This window comes from Homo sapiens, chromosome 5, assembly GCF_000001405.40.
Source record: "Homo sapiens chromosome 5, GRCh38.p14 Primary Assembly".
NCBI classification, from domain to species: domain Eukaryota; kingdom Metazoa; phylum Chordata; class Mammalia; order Primates; family Hominidae; genus Homo; species Homo sapiens.
Window position 1 is genome coordinate 172,666,452 of NC_000005.10, and position 13,713 is coordinate 172,680,164.

Genomic DNA, 13,713 nt, shown 5'->3' on the forward strand with positions numbered 1-13,713 from the left:
ACATTGTTGGTTGCTAGTATCAGAAACCCAGCTCAACCTGGCTTAGAGCAGAAGAGGGCGCCCCTAGCCAAAAAATCTGCAGTCATCTGATTGGCCACCCTAGTATCTAGAGTTGGAGTGAGGTCGATCCACTAGCTGGCGGAAAGCGAGATCTCCCAAGGAAAACTGGAGCATAGTAGCCAGAAAAAGAGGGATGGATACTGGGCAGGCAGAAACAGCAGGTGCCCCCATGACTAACTGTAGGTGGGAGGTGTAGAAAGGCAGAGGCCTTCACCACGGCCCAACGCTGAGGGAGGTGGTGCTCAGCCACCCCTCGTGGGCCTTACCCTTCTTCCATGAAAATGACCTCCATATTCTGCCTCCCTGCATCAGGGGAGGCCTGGCCAGAAGAGCCCAAGAAAGGGTTTTCTGCCCTGACCCTGACTGACCTTGAGCTTGGGCAGACCCCTCTCCCTCTGTTGGCCCATTTTCCCATCTGTAAAATGGGCTTGTTGGAGGAGATGATCCCTGAGGTCTGCTCAAGCTCTAACTGTAACACAGGCAGCAACTGGTGTTTATCAAGCCTGGTGTGTGCTGAGCCCAGGGAAACCAAAGACGGCATGGACAACCCCCTGCCCTCCAGGATCTACTACTGGTATCTCCCTACCCTGTCCTTACCACCACTCTGCTTCCCATTCAAGTGTCTGTTGTAGAACCAAAAGGCCAGCTGGGCATGGTGGCTCATTCCTGTAATCCCAGCACTTTGGGAGGCCGAGGTGGGCAGATCACTTGAGGTCAGGAGTTCAAGACCAGCCTGGCCAACATGGTGAAACCCTGTCTCTACTAAAAAAAAAAAAAAAAAAAAATTAGCCAAGCATGGTGGTGCACACCTGCAATCCCAGCTACTCGGGAGGCTGAGGCAGAAGAAGTGCTTAAACCCAAGAGGTGGAGGTTGCAGTGAGCTGAGATCATGCCATTGCACTCCAGCCTGGGCAACAGAGAAAGACTCCATTTCAAAAAAAAAAAGAAAAGATCCAAAAGGCCTTTTTCAATTTGTTTTATCTATTAAATATAGTTGAAATGTCCAAAGCAAGTAGACTGAATGTTTTCTATTTTCCTACATAAAAATGAATGAAAACCTTCAAATCTCTACTACCTTCAAGACATATCCAGAATCTGACCCCTTCCCACCAGCTTTACTGGTACCTACCCCCAATAGGAGCCATCATGATCTCTGCCCTGGAATAATCCAGTAGCTTTGCTGGCCCCAGCATCCTTGCCACCGCCTCCCAGCAGTCCACTGTGCACACAGTGGCCTGAGCACTCCTACCATGTCTCTGCTCTAAACCTTCAATAAGGTCTCATTGCATTCAGAGTAAAATGGTTAAAGAAAAATCAAACAATAGGATCTCCCCACCCCCCACCCCAGCTCTGATCTCATTTCTACCCGCTTCCCTCCTTGCTCCCACCATTCTGGCTAACTGGCTTCCTTGTCATTTCTCAGTGACACCTCAGGGCCTTTGCACTTGCTGTACCTCCTACCTGGAATGGTCTTACCCCAACCACCCTCCCAGCTCATTTGCTTACCTCCTTCAGGTCTCTGCTCCAAAGCCACTCATCAGGGAGGCCCTTCCTCAAAGTCCTAAGAAAACACCTCTCTCTGCCCCGCCTTGTTGGCTGAATTTTACTCTGTAATGTTTCCCTCCAGGAAGAGTACGTTTTTCATTGTCTGACTTTGCCCACTGGAACGTCAGCTCCATCAGAGCAACAGCCTTGTCTGTCTTGGTGATTGCTGTATTCCCAGTGCCTGGCATGGTGCCTGGCACATACTAGACACTCCCTTCATATGTGTTAAGTAAAAGAATGACTGAAACCCCTTATGTTCCTTTCTAATGTGGAACCTTGGCTTTTTTATTCCTTATATTTTGTCTTCTGTGGGCCAGCGGCTTCTGTTTAGAGAGGAGCCTCCCAGCTTCCAGGCGTGATTTCCTCCCCCCGTGACTGGGCCTTCCTTCTCCCAGGGCCTGGGAAGGGGAGCCATGTCTTGTTTGCCTCATCATTGCCTCTCCCTCTTCATTTTCCCCTGCCCTAGCTCCCATCAGGCTCAGGATTCATCAAACCCCCCCACTTCCACTCTGTGGTGTGCCCAGAGCACAGTGCACCCCGTGGCTGGGTGTGGGAGGAGTGGTCTTTCATTCCTGGGGTCGCCATTCTTCTCATTGTGTGCCTTGGGCGGCCTGTGGTTTCTGAGAATTTGCCATGAAAATTGTACTCAGCTGCTGTGCGAAGAGCAGCAGAGATTCATGTAGTAATCTCCCGCCCTGCCACCTCCCAGGATCCCAGAGCCCCCCAGGAACCGCCCCTAGGATGGGAGAAGGAAAGGCAGGGGGAGAGGAAGACTCCCACTTGATATTGAGCCACCTGGCTTTGTGATCAGATCCTTTGAAAGACCACGCCGGGATTCCCCAGGTCCTTCAGAGCAGAATGTCTTTAGAAATGAACCCCAAAGGTGTCCGTTCCGGAAAAGCCAACGTTGCTCATAAGCAATGCCTTCATTTTCTGTGGCTGAGGGGAGGGGAATCCCTGAATCCTGGCTTGGATGTGCTTTGGAACCTCAGTAATATATATCATCAGTAATAATATCATATTATTAATGACTTGTTACATACACACGCTGTGCCAGGTAGTACTCCAGGGATTTCATCCACATTCTCTTTCAGCAGCTGTGTGAGTGGAGTCATGTCAGGCAAAAAGACAAGCTAGAGAAGTGACAAGTCTGCCCCATACCTCCCACCTAGGAAGTGCCAGAGCTGGGATTCAGGCTGCCTTGGCCGTTTCTATTGCCTGACCTGTCTTAGCTTTTGAATAAAAGTAGGGGAGGTATTATTTGGATGATTTGCACAGAGAAAAGCAGCCAAATATCTCCACTACTCACCCTAAGAATCCAGGGCTCTGTTGCTTTTGGAGGGACTCTGTGGCCCAGAGGTGGCCCCGCGAGGTCCTTGTAGCTGTGGAGGGATTTGATGGGGATGGAGAAGTTATTTGGCCCCTGGCTGGCTGTCGTGGGCTCTTGGTGTTGGCGCCTCTGACAGGGAAACAGCTCTAGTGCTTCACCACACACACTAAACCTTGGTTCGCTTATCTGTGGCACGGGTATGCTGACTGCTGTGGCAAAGAGATTAGGGCCAGTTAGGGTCGGTCTCCCTTTGGTCAAGCCTGGAACCTTCTTAAGTTTATCAGTAACCAGTCCTGTTAAAATGGAATTTCAAATGAAAATGATTGTTAAGTAAAGACCAATCGGGGCCCGCAGGAGTTCGGAGGAGGCCTAACCGTGCTGCCTGTGTCTTTCCGCAGACCCGAGCCCACCGGCGCGCCTCCTGGCCACCCGGCCGTGCTGCGGCCCCGGCCCCGAGCGACGCCCGGTCCTGGGCGAGGCGCCGCGCTTCCACGCGCAGGCCAAAGGCAAGAACGTGCGGCTGGACGGCCACTCGCGCCGGGCCACACGGCGCAACAGCTTCTGCAATGGCGTCACGTTCACGCAGCGGCCCATCCGGCTGTACGAGCAGGTGCGGCTGCGCCTGGTGGCCGTGCGCCCTGGCTGGAGCGGCGCGCTGCGCTTCGGCTTCACCGCGCACGATCCGTCGCTCATGAGCGCCCAGGACATCCCCAAGTACGCCTGCCCGGACCTGGTCACGCGGCCGGGCTACTGGGCCAAGGCACTGCCCGAGAACCTGGCGCTGCGCGACACGGTGCTGGCCTACTGGGCCGACCGCCACGGCCGCGTGTTCTACAGCGTGAACGACGGCGAGCCGGTGCTCTTCCACTGCGGCGTGGCCGTGGGCGGCCCGCTCTGGGCGCTCATTGATGTCTACGGCATCACCGACGAGGTGCAGCTTCTGGGTAGGTCGCGGGCGCGGCGCCCCCTGGGGACCTGGCAGCGGTGCCTTTGCGCGTGGGTGTGTGTTTCATTAGTAGCCACAGTCACTTATGGAGAGCTCCTTTTGCCAGGCGTGGCACTAAGCGCTTTACGCCTTTTAACTAATTTATTTCTCACAACAACCTACCCTCCGGTTTTACAGATGCGAAAACTGAGGCATAGAGAGGTTAAATCATTTGTGCTGCAAAGCCAGGATTGGAACCCACATGGTTTGAACCCATGCTCTGGCCCAGGTTCATTCACTCACTCATTCCTTCACTTCCTAGTTTATTTGCTCATTCATTCATTCATTCATTCGCTCACTCATTCCTTCACTTCCTAGTTTATTTGCTCATTCATTCATTCACTCATTCACTCATTCGCACATGTATTCATTTGCTCACTCCTTCACCCATTCATTCACACGCTTCCATTTGCTCATTTAGTCGTTCATTCACTCATTCAGCGTCAAACTTAGGCTCTAATCACAAACACCCATGGAGTACCTCCATGGCATGTGCAGAGAGGAGTTAGGTGTGGCGAACCCCGGCCCACATTAAGGGGCTGGAGGTGCTGGGGAGGCTGACAGGTGTGAGCCCGATTCTCACGGAGGAGGCAGCGGCTAATGCCCAAATCCTGATGGTGAGAATTCATGGGAGTAGAAGTTTGCTACCTGTATCTCAAGACCTTTTTTTAAAAATTGAGGTAAAATTCACATAATAGAACAGCAACCATTTTAAAGTGTACAACTGAGTGGCATATAGTTGTCAGCCATCACCTCTATCCAGTTCTAAAACATGTCATCACCCCAAAGGGAAACCCTACCCATTAAGCAGCCACTCCCTGTTCTCCCCTCGCTCCAGCCCCGGCAACCACTCATCTGCTTTCTGTTTGAGACCTTAGCTCTTGAACCTACAGGTTGCACCGGAACCAGCCCAGCCTCGACCTCTAGGGGAGTAAAGGGAGAGCAGGTTTGTCAGGGAATCTGGACACAGCTCTTGGTGTAGCTTAGTGTAGCTTATGTGCAGTGTTGAAATGCATGGATCTAAAGGTTTGCAGGTGTTGACAGACTGATGCACCTGTCCGTAACCCCAGAGGTGATCCTTCTGAGTCAAGCCTTCTCTTCTCCAGAGGTAGCCACTGTTCTGATTTTTCACCATAGGTTAGTTTTGCCTGTTTTTGAACTTCATGTGAGTGGAATCGCACAGTATTTATCCATTGGTATCTGGCTTCTTTATCTCAGCATCGTATTTTTCAGATTCATCCACATTGTTCCTGTATCAGTAGTTCGTTCCTTTTTATTGCTAAGTATGCTAAGTAGTAGCCCATGAACTGGATTACCAGAGTTTGTATATCTGCATGTTTGGGCTGTTTCTGGCTTTTCAGCCCTGCATTTTGTGGGAAAACCCTGGCCTGGGATTCTTGATCCTCTACCTCATCCCCTTCATTACCCCACCATTGGGCAAGGAGGAAAGATTCATGCATCCAAGCTATGCCCCAACCCACAGAAGTAGGAAGACAGTGGAACATCTGAGTGGTCAAGAGCAGGGTGTTGGATCACATAGACCTCTGTTCTAGAACTGACTCTCCACTTGCCAGCTGTGTGGCCTTGGCCAGGTAACTGAAACTTTCTGTGCCTCAGATTTTTTTTCATCTGCAAAATGGGCACAAGATAGCACCCACCTCATGGGATTGTTGATAAGGTTACATGAGATGATGTCTGAAAGGGATGCAGCACAGTTCCTGACACAGAGAAGGCACTCAAGAAATAACAGCTAAGAAATAAGAAGCTCTGCCTATTTGCAAGTGAGCCGGAGCACATGTCCAAATTCCAGGCTTAGACCAGATTGTGAAGAGCTACCCACCCTCCAAGCTGGAGCCTACTTGGGCGTTTTAACTATGTCCCCTCATGCTCTTTTCCATGAAAGGCTTTGGTATTTCACCTCCAGGAGATGCAGGTTTCTGAAACCTCCTAGATTTCCCATCATCTTTTTTGGAGCTCTTTTTTCCTATCCAGCAGGGAAGCAATCCCACCTCACTCACCTGCTCATTTGCAGCCCATGTCTTTGAGTAACAGCCAAGAAATCACAGCCACTCCATAATCAGCTCAAGTGGATTCGGATTTTTAAAAATACAAATTGGAAGCAGCCTTTGATGACTTAATGAGATTGCATAAATCTGTGAGGTGAACTCTCCCCCCCCCACTCTATTTCCTTATTCAGCAAACTCTTATTGAACTCCTTACAACATTCTAGGAAGGGAGAGGTAGAGTCTGCTGGAACACCACTGTGACATGGCAGACATGAGCCTCAGCTTCCCTTATCTACAAGTCGTCCCTGAGCTGTGCTTATTGATGGAAACTACCTGGCACAGGTGCCACAGGACAATGATCACAAAATTATTCTGTCCTTTTTTTTTTAATCTGCCTCATATGATCTGCAGGAAACACAAACATATATAAAAGAAGAAAATGGTATTAGAAGGAATTTCATCCATGGGTGATGAGATAATGGGTGAATTTTACTTCCTTATATCTCTGAGTCACCTTTAAAAAATACATATATGGAAAGAGCTTGTATTGCTTTTACAGTCAGAAAGAGCAATAAGGTTATTGTCCTTTCTGAAGGTTATATGAGATAATAGAGGGGAAGTTTCTGACACGTGATTGAGGCTCAATGAATGTTTATTTTCTTCCCAGAGGAAAAGCGAGTTGTCATTGGATACATCTGGGTAAAGGGATTATGAGTGACTTTTTATTTTTCCAAAATAACAGTGATTTATAATCAGGAAAAATGTTGTAATAAAAATAAGCTAAGCAGTCATGATTTTGTATGGTTTAAGTACAGGAGACAAATACCCTGCTGTTTCCAGGACAGGATGAGGCACCACGAGAACATCAAAAATCCCACCCAAAATCTCCCAATACCTGGGAGAATTTGGCTTCCTGAACGTGGTGTCCAAGGTACCCAATGGAAACATAAAGAGACAGCCAGTTTCTGTGCTATCCTGAGCACTCTGAACTCCTTTCCATCACAAGGAACAAGGGGCTGACATGGTTCCTTTAGAGCTGCTCAGTTGTAAATTCTAGAATTGAAAACCCCTGAGACCTCTTCATTCCTCCCTCACCACAATCAGGTCCCACTGGATAAAACCTGAAAACCAACAAACAAAAGTGGCATCTGGGTAGGGTTGTCAAATCAAGCAAATAAAAATATAGGACACCCAGTTACATTGGAATTTCAGATAAACAAGGAAAAAAAAGTTTTTTTGACACAGGGTTTCACTCTTGTTGCTCAGGCTGGAGTGCAGTGGCATGAACACAGCTCACTGCAGCCTCGACCTCCTGGGCCTAAGGAATCCTCCTGCCTCAGCCTCCCGAGTAGCCAGGACCACAGGCTCATGCCTGGCTAATTAGGAAAAAATTTTAGTACAAGCGTATCCCATGCAATGTTTGGGACGTACTTATGCAAAAAAAAAAAAAAAAAGTGTATTTATCAGAAATTCAAATGTGGCTACACGCGGTGGCTCACATCTGTAATCCCAGCACTTTGGGAGGCCGAGGCAGGCGGATCACCTGAGGTCAGGAGTTCGAGACCAGCCTGGCCAACATGGTGAAACCCTGTCTCTACTAAAAATACAAAAAATTAACCAGCCACGGTGGCAGGCACCTGTAATCCCAGCTACTTGGGAGGCTGAGGCAGAAGAATCGCTTGAACCCAGGAGGCAGAGGTTGCAGTGAGCCGAGATGGCACCATTGCACTCCAGCCTGGGTGCCAGAGCAAAACTCCATCTCAAAAAAAAAAAATTAAATTAAATAAAAACATGTAACTGAGCATCCTGCATTTCATCTGGCAATCCTTGTCTAAGAAGCATCCACCCCATCTTGTGGGGCTGGGGTGTGTTTTATTTGCCCTCGAGCCAAAGTCTCAGAAATAAAAAAGGGCTCGTAGGCCTCACATATTTTTTTTGCCTGGTGGAACTTTGAGCCCAGCCCAGTATCCTCCTGCACAGAGTCCAGCTGCAGCAGTGAGTGCTGCATCTATGGGGCCAGACCGTGGGGTGCCCTTTCTAGGTAAAGAATCCAGAGTCCCGAGAAGGAAAGTGACTAGCTTAGAACCACCAAGACGGTCAGTGGCAGAGCCTGGACTGGAAGACTGCTGCGGCAGTATTTAGTTCGCATTGTGCTCACCTGGGGAGCTTTGACAATCCCACTTCCCAGGCTGCACCCAGACCAATTAAATCAGAACCTCTGGGGGTGGCACCCAGGTGTTAGGATTTCTTAAGGGCCCCCAGCTGCTGCCAGGGTTGTGCTAACGATTCCCTTTGCATAGGTGTACATTGCCCCTTCCTTCCTCCCTCCCTGCTTGGGAACCTTGGGAGTCAAGTTCTTCGGACGCCTCTGTCCAGGGGATAGACTCATTGGGCCATGTAGACCCTGTCTCTTGCTTTGACTTTTTCGCTTCATCCCCAATCCCCACTCCTTTTCATGTCTTCTCCTGACCAGGTAGGCATCACTCTGATTCATAATCCCATGAATGTATCTTTTGGAGTCTCGTTCTGTTGCCCAGGCTGGAGAGCTGTGGCGCAATCTTGGCTCACTGCAACCTCTGCCTCCCAGGTTTAAGCTATTCTTCTGCCTCAGCCTCCCAAGTAGCTGGGATGACAGGCGCCTGCCACCACGCCCGGCTAATTTTTGTATTTTTAGTAAAGATGGGGTTTCTACTGGGTACCTGTTGGTCAGGTTGGTCTCGAACTCCTGACCTCAGGTGATCCGCCCGCCTCGGCCTCCAAAAGTGCTGGGATTACAGGCATGAGCCACCATGCCTGGCCGAATGTATCTTTTAAAAATAGGTAGATTTGTTTTATATGCTTATGTGGATGGTATTGTGCTAAGGACCTTATTCTGTTTTTCTTTTTCCACTCACCCTTCTTTAGGATCTATCTGTACTGTGGTATGCCTATCTGGTTCCTTTCTCCCTCGTGGCTCCTGCCCATTGATGGACACCTGGATTACGACCAATCCCCCAAGCCACACACACAGACAGTACTGTAGGGTGCATTGTCTCAGGGCTGCTCTATGCTTGTTTAATGGTCTCTGGGGTACAGATCAGGAGGGGCTTGCGGGTCCTGGAGTGGGTCCATCCTGAGAGGCTTAGATTTCTCGAGATGCTCCTCAGGGCCAAAGAGAAGGGACTGAGTGCAGGAAAATTACTTTTCGCTGAATTTAGCAGTTCCTGGAGCCAGGAGAGGAAGCTTCTGCCAGGCCATGCGCTCCCTTCCCTCCCTTCTCCCTGTGGCTCCAGGAAGCATTTATCACAGGTGGAATATCCCTTGTCGGAAATGCTTATGACCAGAAGCATTTCAGATTTTAGACGTTTTTGGATTTTGGAATATTTGTATTATAGTTAACATTTCAGCATCACTAATCTGATATCCGAAAATCACTGTTGATGATTCTAGATTAGTGTTTTTTCATGTTTTGTGCCCAAAAACTTCAGAGTTTGTAGCATTTCACATTTCAGATTTTCAGATCAGGGATACTCAACTTATGTCTCTTTTCTATGGAAGCCCTTTCTGGAGGTCCTCGAGTTCAGGCCAGGCCCTGTGCTTTTTTGAGGCAGCCCTGCCCTCCTTCCTAGGCAGCTCCAGGGTGGTCAGTGTCAGCCCTGCTGTCCTTCCTTTGCCCAGTCGTGGGAAGCTGGTCAGATTGAAAAAGCAATGCCAGTCGGGGGTCATGGCATAGCAGACCATATTGTCAGAAATCTTTGGTTGCAAGGGACAGAAACTCAGTTCAGTCTCACTTAAGGAAAAAAAAAAAAAAAGAGGAAGCATTAATGTCTCATGTGGCTGAAAATTCCTGGGAATGGTTGCCTTTAAGCCTGGCTCAATGCGGGGACCCAAAGAACTGCACCTGGAATACTTGTCTGTCTTCATTTCTCATTTTGCCATCTTCTTTGGTGGCCTCATCCTCAGCTGGACTGTCCCTTTGGGGTGGAGGAAAGGCCACCAGCATTTCCAGTCTTGCATCCCACGAGCTTAACAAATCCAACAGAAGAGCTGCTTTCCTAGAAGTCTGCCTGTCATCTCTAGATGTAGCCTCATGGATCTGGCCTGGGTCACATGCCTATCCTTGAACCCATCTCCATGGCCAGGGGCATAGGATGAAGTGATTGGCCAGGTTAAGGCCCCCCTCCTGACTCCTGAGGCAATGGGAGGTGGGGGTGGGGCAGTTCCCTCCAAAGAAAAGCTGGGTGCTGTTACCAGGAGAAGGGGAGTGGATGCCAGGCAGCCAGAAACAACAGTCCTGCATGGGCCTTGGAAAGGTGTCATTTGCCCAGCTTGGAAGCACTGAGATCCCTTGTTAAAGATAGTTACTAGGCACTTACTCTGTGCCAGGCACAATGCTGAGAGCTTGATGTGGGTCATGTCTTCTGTTCCTTACAAGAATCCTGTGAGGCAGGAAACTCATTTGCAAACTCCACGTGGATAGAGAACTTGGCCAAGGTTGCATAACTGTTGGTGGTCCTAAAGTCAGAGTTTGTTCATTATTGTTATAAACAAAGTGTGTGATAAAGACCTGAACTTATGGAGTTAAATGCAGGGTTCGGAGGTCTGAGCGCACCATTCCAGGCTGCAGGAGAGGAAACTGAGGCCCAGAGAAAGGCAGGGACTTGCCCAAGGTCTCCCAGCTGGTCAGTGGCCACGGTGGGGGAGGGAGGTGTGGACCCAGGGGCTGTCTCGGTGAGGGGCCTGTAAGCACACCTTGGGCCGGGAGGAATGCTGCTGTGCTGCTGGCTTCAGGCAGAGCCCCAGTGGGAGCCACGCGGAGTCATTAGCTTTGCGGTTAATGTTCTTTTTTCCAAACAGACCAGGCCAGCACCCACCTCCTCACCCCAGCGTAAATCATTTGCATGGCAGGGTGTCCTGAAGGGTTGTCCTTTCTCAGTCTGGAGCGAGACCGCCGCTGCATGGCCGCCAGCCTGTCCCACCAAGGGCTTCTGAAGGCCTGTTCTATGCAGGCACGGAGCTGGGTGCATCGTGATCCCACTGTTCTGCCCTCTTTAATCTTCCCCACAGGCCACTAAGATGGGATGAGGGTCCCCACTTTGCAAGTGGGGAAACTGAGGTCACAGCCAGAATTGGCCAGGGTCCAACCGAGGCCTGTGTCTGCAGTCCAGCCTTCTCTGGTTGGCAGAAGGGCATCTGGAAAAGCACGAGGTCAGTGGCGCACAGACCCAGGTCATGCCCCAGCACACCAAGGCCAGTGTTTGCCATCTTTTTTCCTAGAACCTCAAGCCCTCTCCCTTGGTGCCCACCCCCTCGGCCTTCCCCCCGTGGCCGTGGATAAGGAGCTCTGCTCCTGTCCCCTCCTGCCTGCTCATAGACATGGTTCCTGTCATTTGTCTACTTCCTCCGCCTCCACGGAATCACCCCCATGAGCACACAGAAGAGCCCCGGTGGCGTCCGTCTTTTCAAAACACCCTCCATCAGCCCCCTCACCAGCCACAGTCCTGTCTCTCTGCCCTCCCTCCCTCAGGGCAGGTCTTTCTTAAGTGCTGGTTATGCCACCCTCTCCTTTTCCCTCTTAAGCTGTGCCCTGAGGCGTGAGTCCCTGCCCATCACTGACCTTCAGCCTGTCAGACCCTGAGCCTACATCCTGGGCCCACTACCGGGCCCCTCGCTTTCAGCCCAGGTGACCTCTCCCGGCTGTGTGAATGTTGCTGCTTGTGGCTCCTGGGCCTTCCCGAGCTCCCGCCGTTCCTCCTGCTTTCCTGGCCACCCCTCGCCCTACCTGTCCTCCCTATGTTGAAAGCCCCATGGTTCTATCCTGGGCCCACTCTTTCCTTTTTACTTTCTTAAATTGTGTAATACAATATGCATATAGGAAGGCATCTAAGAACAACTGTAGCATTCAACAGATTGTCATAAAACAAGCCTGTGTCTGTCTGCCCTCTTTCTCCAAGTTATCTGAGCCCATCATTGGGCTTCACATCTAGACTGTTGACTCCCAAACCCATCTTCCCAGCCCTGACACCTCCCTTGAACCCCAGGCCTCCCACCACCTATCCAGCCTCTCCTCCTACATCTGAGGGGCATCCCACACTGAACATGCTCGGACACAACTCTTGAATCCCCCACCTCCTGCTCCTCAGCCAGCCCCATTGGCAATAAGTAGCACCACCCCCTTGGTTGGCCATTGGCAGTAAGTGACACCACCCCCTTGGTTGGCCATTGGCAGTAAGTGACACCACCCCCTTGGTTGGCCATTGGCAGTAAGTGACACCACCCCCTTGGTTGGCCATTGGCAGTAAGTGACACCACCCCCTTGGTTGGCCAGTAACCCGGTGTCATTCTCGATTCCTCTTTTCCTTGCCTTGGATCCATTCTGTCAGTGAGTCCTGTCATTTCTGCCTCTAGTACATGGCCCGAGTCAGTCCCACAGAGTGGTGATTGATGGATATGTTTCTCTGTCCCCAGTTGTCCCTGCCTTCATTTTCGTGTCTACACCAAGATGGTTTCATTTGAGACATACATTTTGCTTTACTTCCAGCCCAGATATATTGGACCTAAGAGAGAAAGGGGAGGGGAAAAAGGGAAGAGCTAGGCCCTGGAAGTGGCTTGGGAGAGTGGGAGGTCAGGGGCCTGTCCCAGCCTCCTCGTACCTGACTGGGGACTGCTGCAGTGTGTTGGTACTCAGTGGCTATTCATGGCAGGGAGGCGGGGACATTAGGCCCGTGGAGACTGAAACTCCAACTTTGGCCGGAGGCCAAGTCCCGGTGCTGGGCTGCTCTCAGAGCTGAACGACAACAGCAGCATTGGGAGGCAGTATTGCTAGCCAGGGGCCTTGCTCTGGAGTCAAAGCCTGGGCTGGAATCCTGTCTGTCACCCCCAGGCTATGTGACCTTCAGTAACTCACTCCACCTCTCAGCGCCTCAGTGTTCTCCCACTGTGAAATGTGCCCATTTTACAGAGCCACATAAGATAGTGGTGAGGACCAAAGGGGACCATCAGGGTATGGAGCTGCGTCTAGCAGGCGCTCGAGAACGTGGTTATGTGTGTACTTGTTTCAGCCACCGGTAGAAGCTGGGCAGTCTCGACACGCTCCCTCGGTGCCTCTTGATGTTGCTGGATTTCTGCCTATAGCCGACTGGTTCTCCTTAGAAGAAATGCCCCTTTGAGCAATGCATTCTGAAGTGTCTGGCCTAGGCTGGCGCTGTGCTGTCTTGGGCCTGTCTCAATCAGGGCCCATGCCCAAGAGGAACAAAGCTCCTTCCACAAAGAATAAGTGAGGCCATGCAACCTTTTCTGAGGGGCTGCCGTGTGCCAGGTACCCAGCACAATGTCACATTCATTATAACCCAGCCTTGTAGACACGCCAAGCTTCCAGCACCTCAGTGCCTTCACATGTGCTGTTCTCTGTGCCTGGAGAACCTGCCCGGCCACAGATCCCTTATCTCCAGGTCGCAGCCTGTTGATCAGTCAGGGAGGCCTTTTCTGGCCTTAGTCCCCCTTTATACACCCTCAGAGAATCCCAGCTCTGTCACTCCCCAGCTGTGTGACCTCTTGGAGCCTCAGAGTTCCCCCACTGACACTTCCCCACATAGGACAGAGGCTCTTGGTGGCACTTGGCCCAGTTTTCTGTAAGATGGCTTCGTAGAGCCTTTATCTCCCACTTGAAAGGGAATTCCATAAGCACAGGAGCCACGCCTGTGTGTTCACCTCTGTTCACCCAGCACACAGCAGCGCTGGGCCCACAGTGAGTGCTCTATACGTTTTTATGATCATAATTAATGTTTTGAGCACTTAGTGCCATGCTC

General features: G+C 50.8%; 1 protein-coding gene across 3 annotated transcripts in view, besides 1 other annotated feature; it reads left to right on the forward strand.

Annotated features, from left to right (window-relative positions):
• NEURL1B (neuralized E3 ubiquitin protein ligase 1B) overlaps nucleotides 1-13,713 on the forward strand; it is a 50,278-nt gene that overhangs the window by 25,189 nt on the left and 11,376 nt on the right. For 2 of the 3 annotated variants that reach the window (NM_001142651.3, NM_001308178.2), the window contains exon 2: nucleotides 3,334-3,879. The exons of the other annotated variant lie outside the window; for it this stretch is intronic. In NM_001142651.3, coding sequence (NP_001136123.1) covers nucleotides 3,334-3,879 — 546 coding nt within the window. The remainder of the gene's footprint in view (nucleotides 1-3,333; nucleotides 3,880-13,713) is intronic. 3 annotated transcript variants of the gene reach the window in all.
• Nucleotides 11,127-11,711: an enhancer, noted in NCBI's record as "H3K4me1 hESC enhancer chr5:172104581-172105165 (GRCh37/hg19 assembly coordinates)". NCBI's record gives its function as "activates a minimal SCP1, AML or CMV promoter by ChIP-STARR-seq in primed H9 embryonic stem cells {active_cell/tissue: H9 hESC(primed)}" and the evidence as "EXISTENCE:reporter gene assay evidence [ECO:0000049][PMID:30033119]".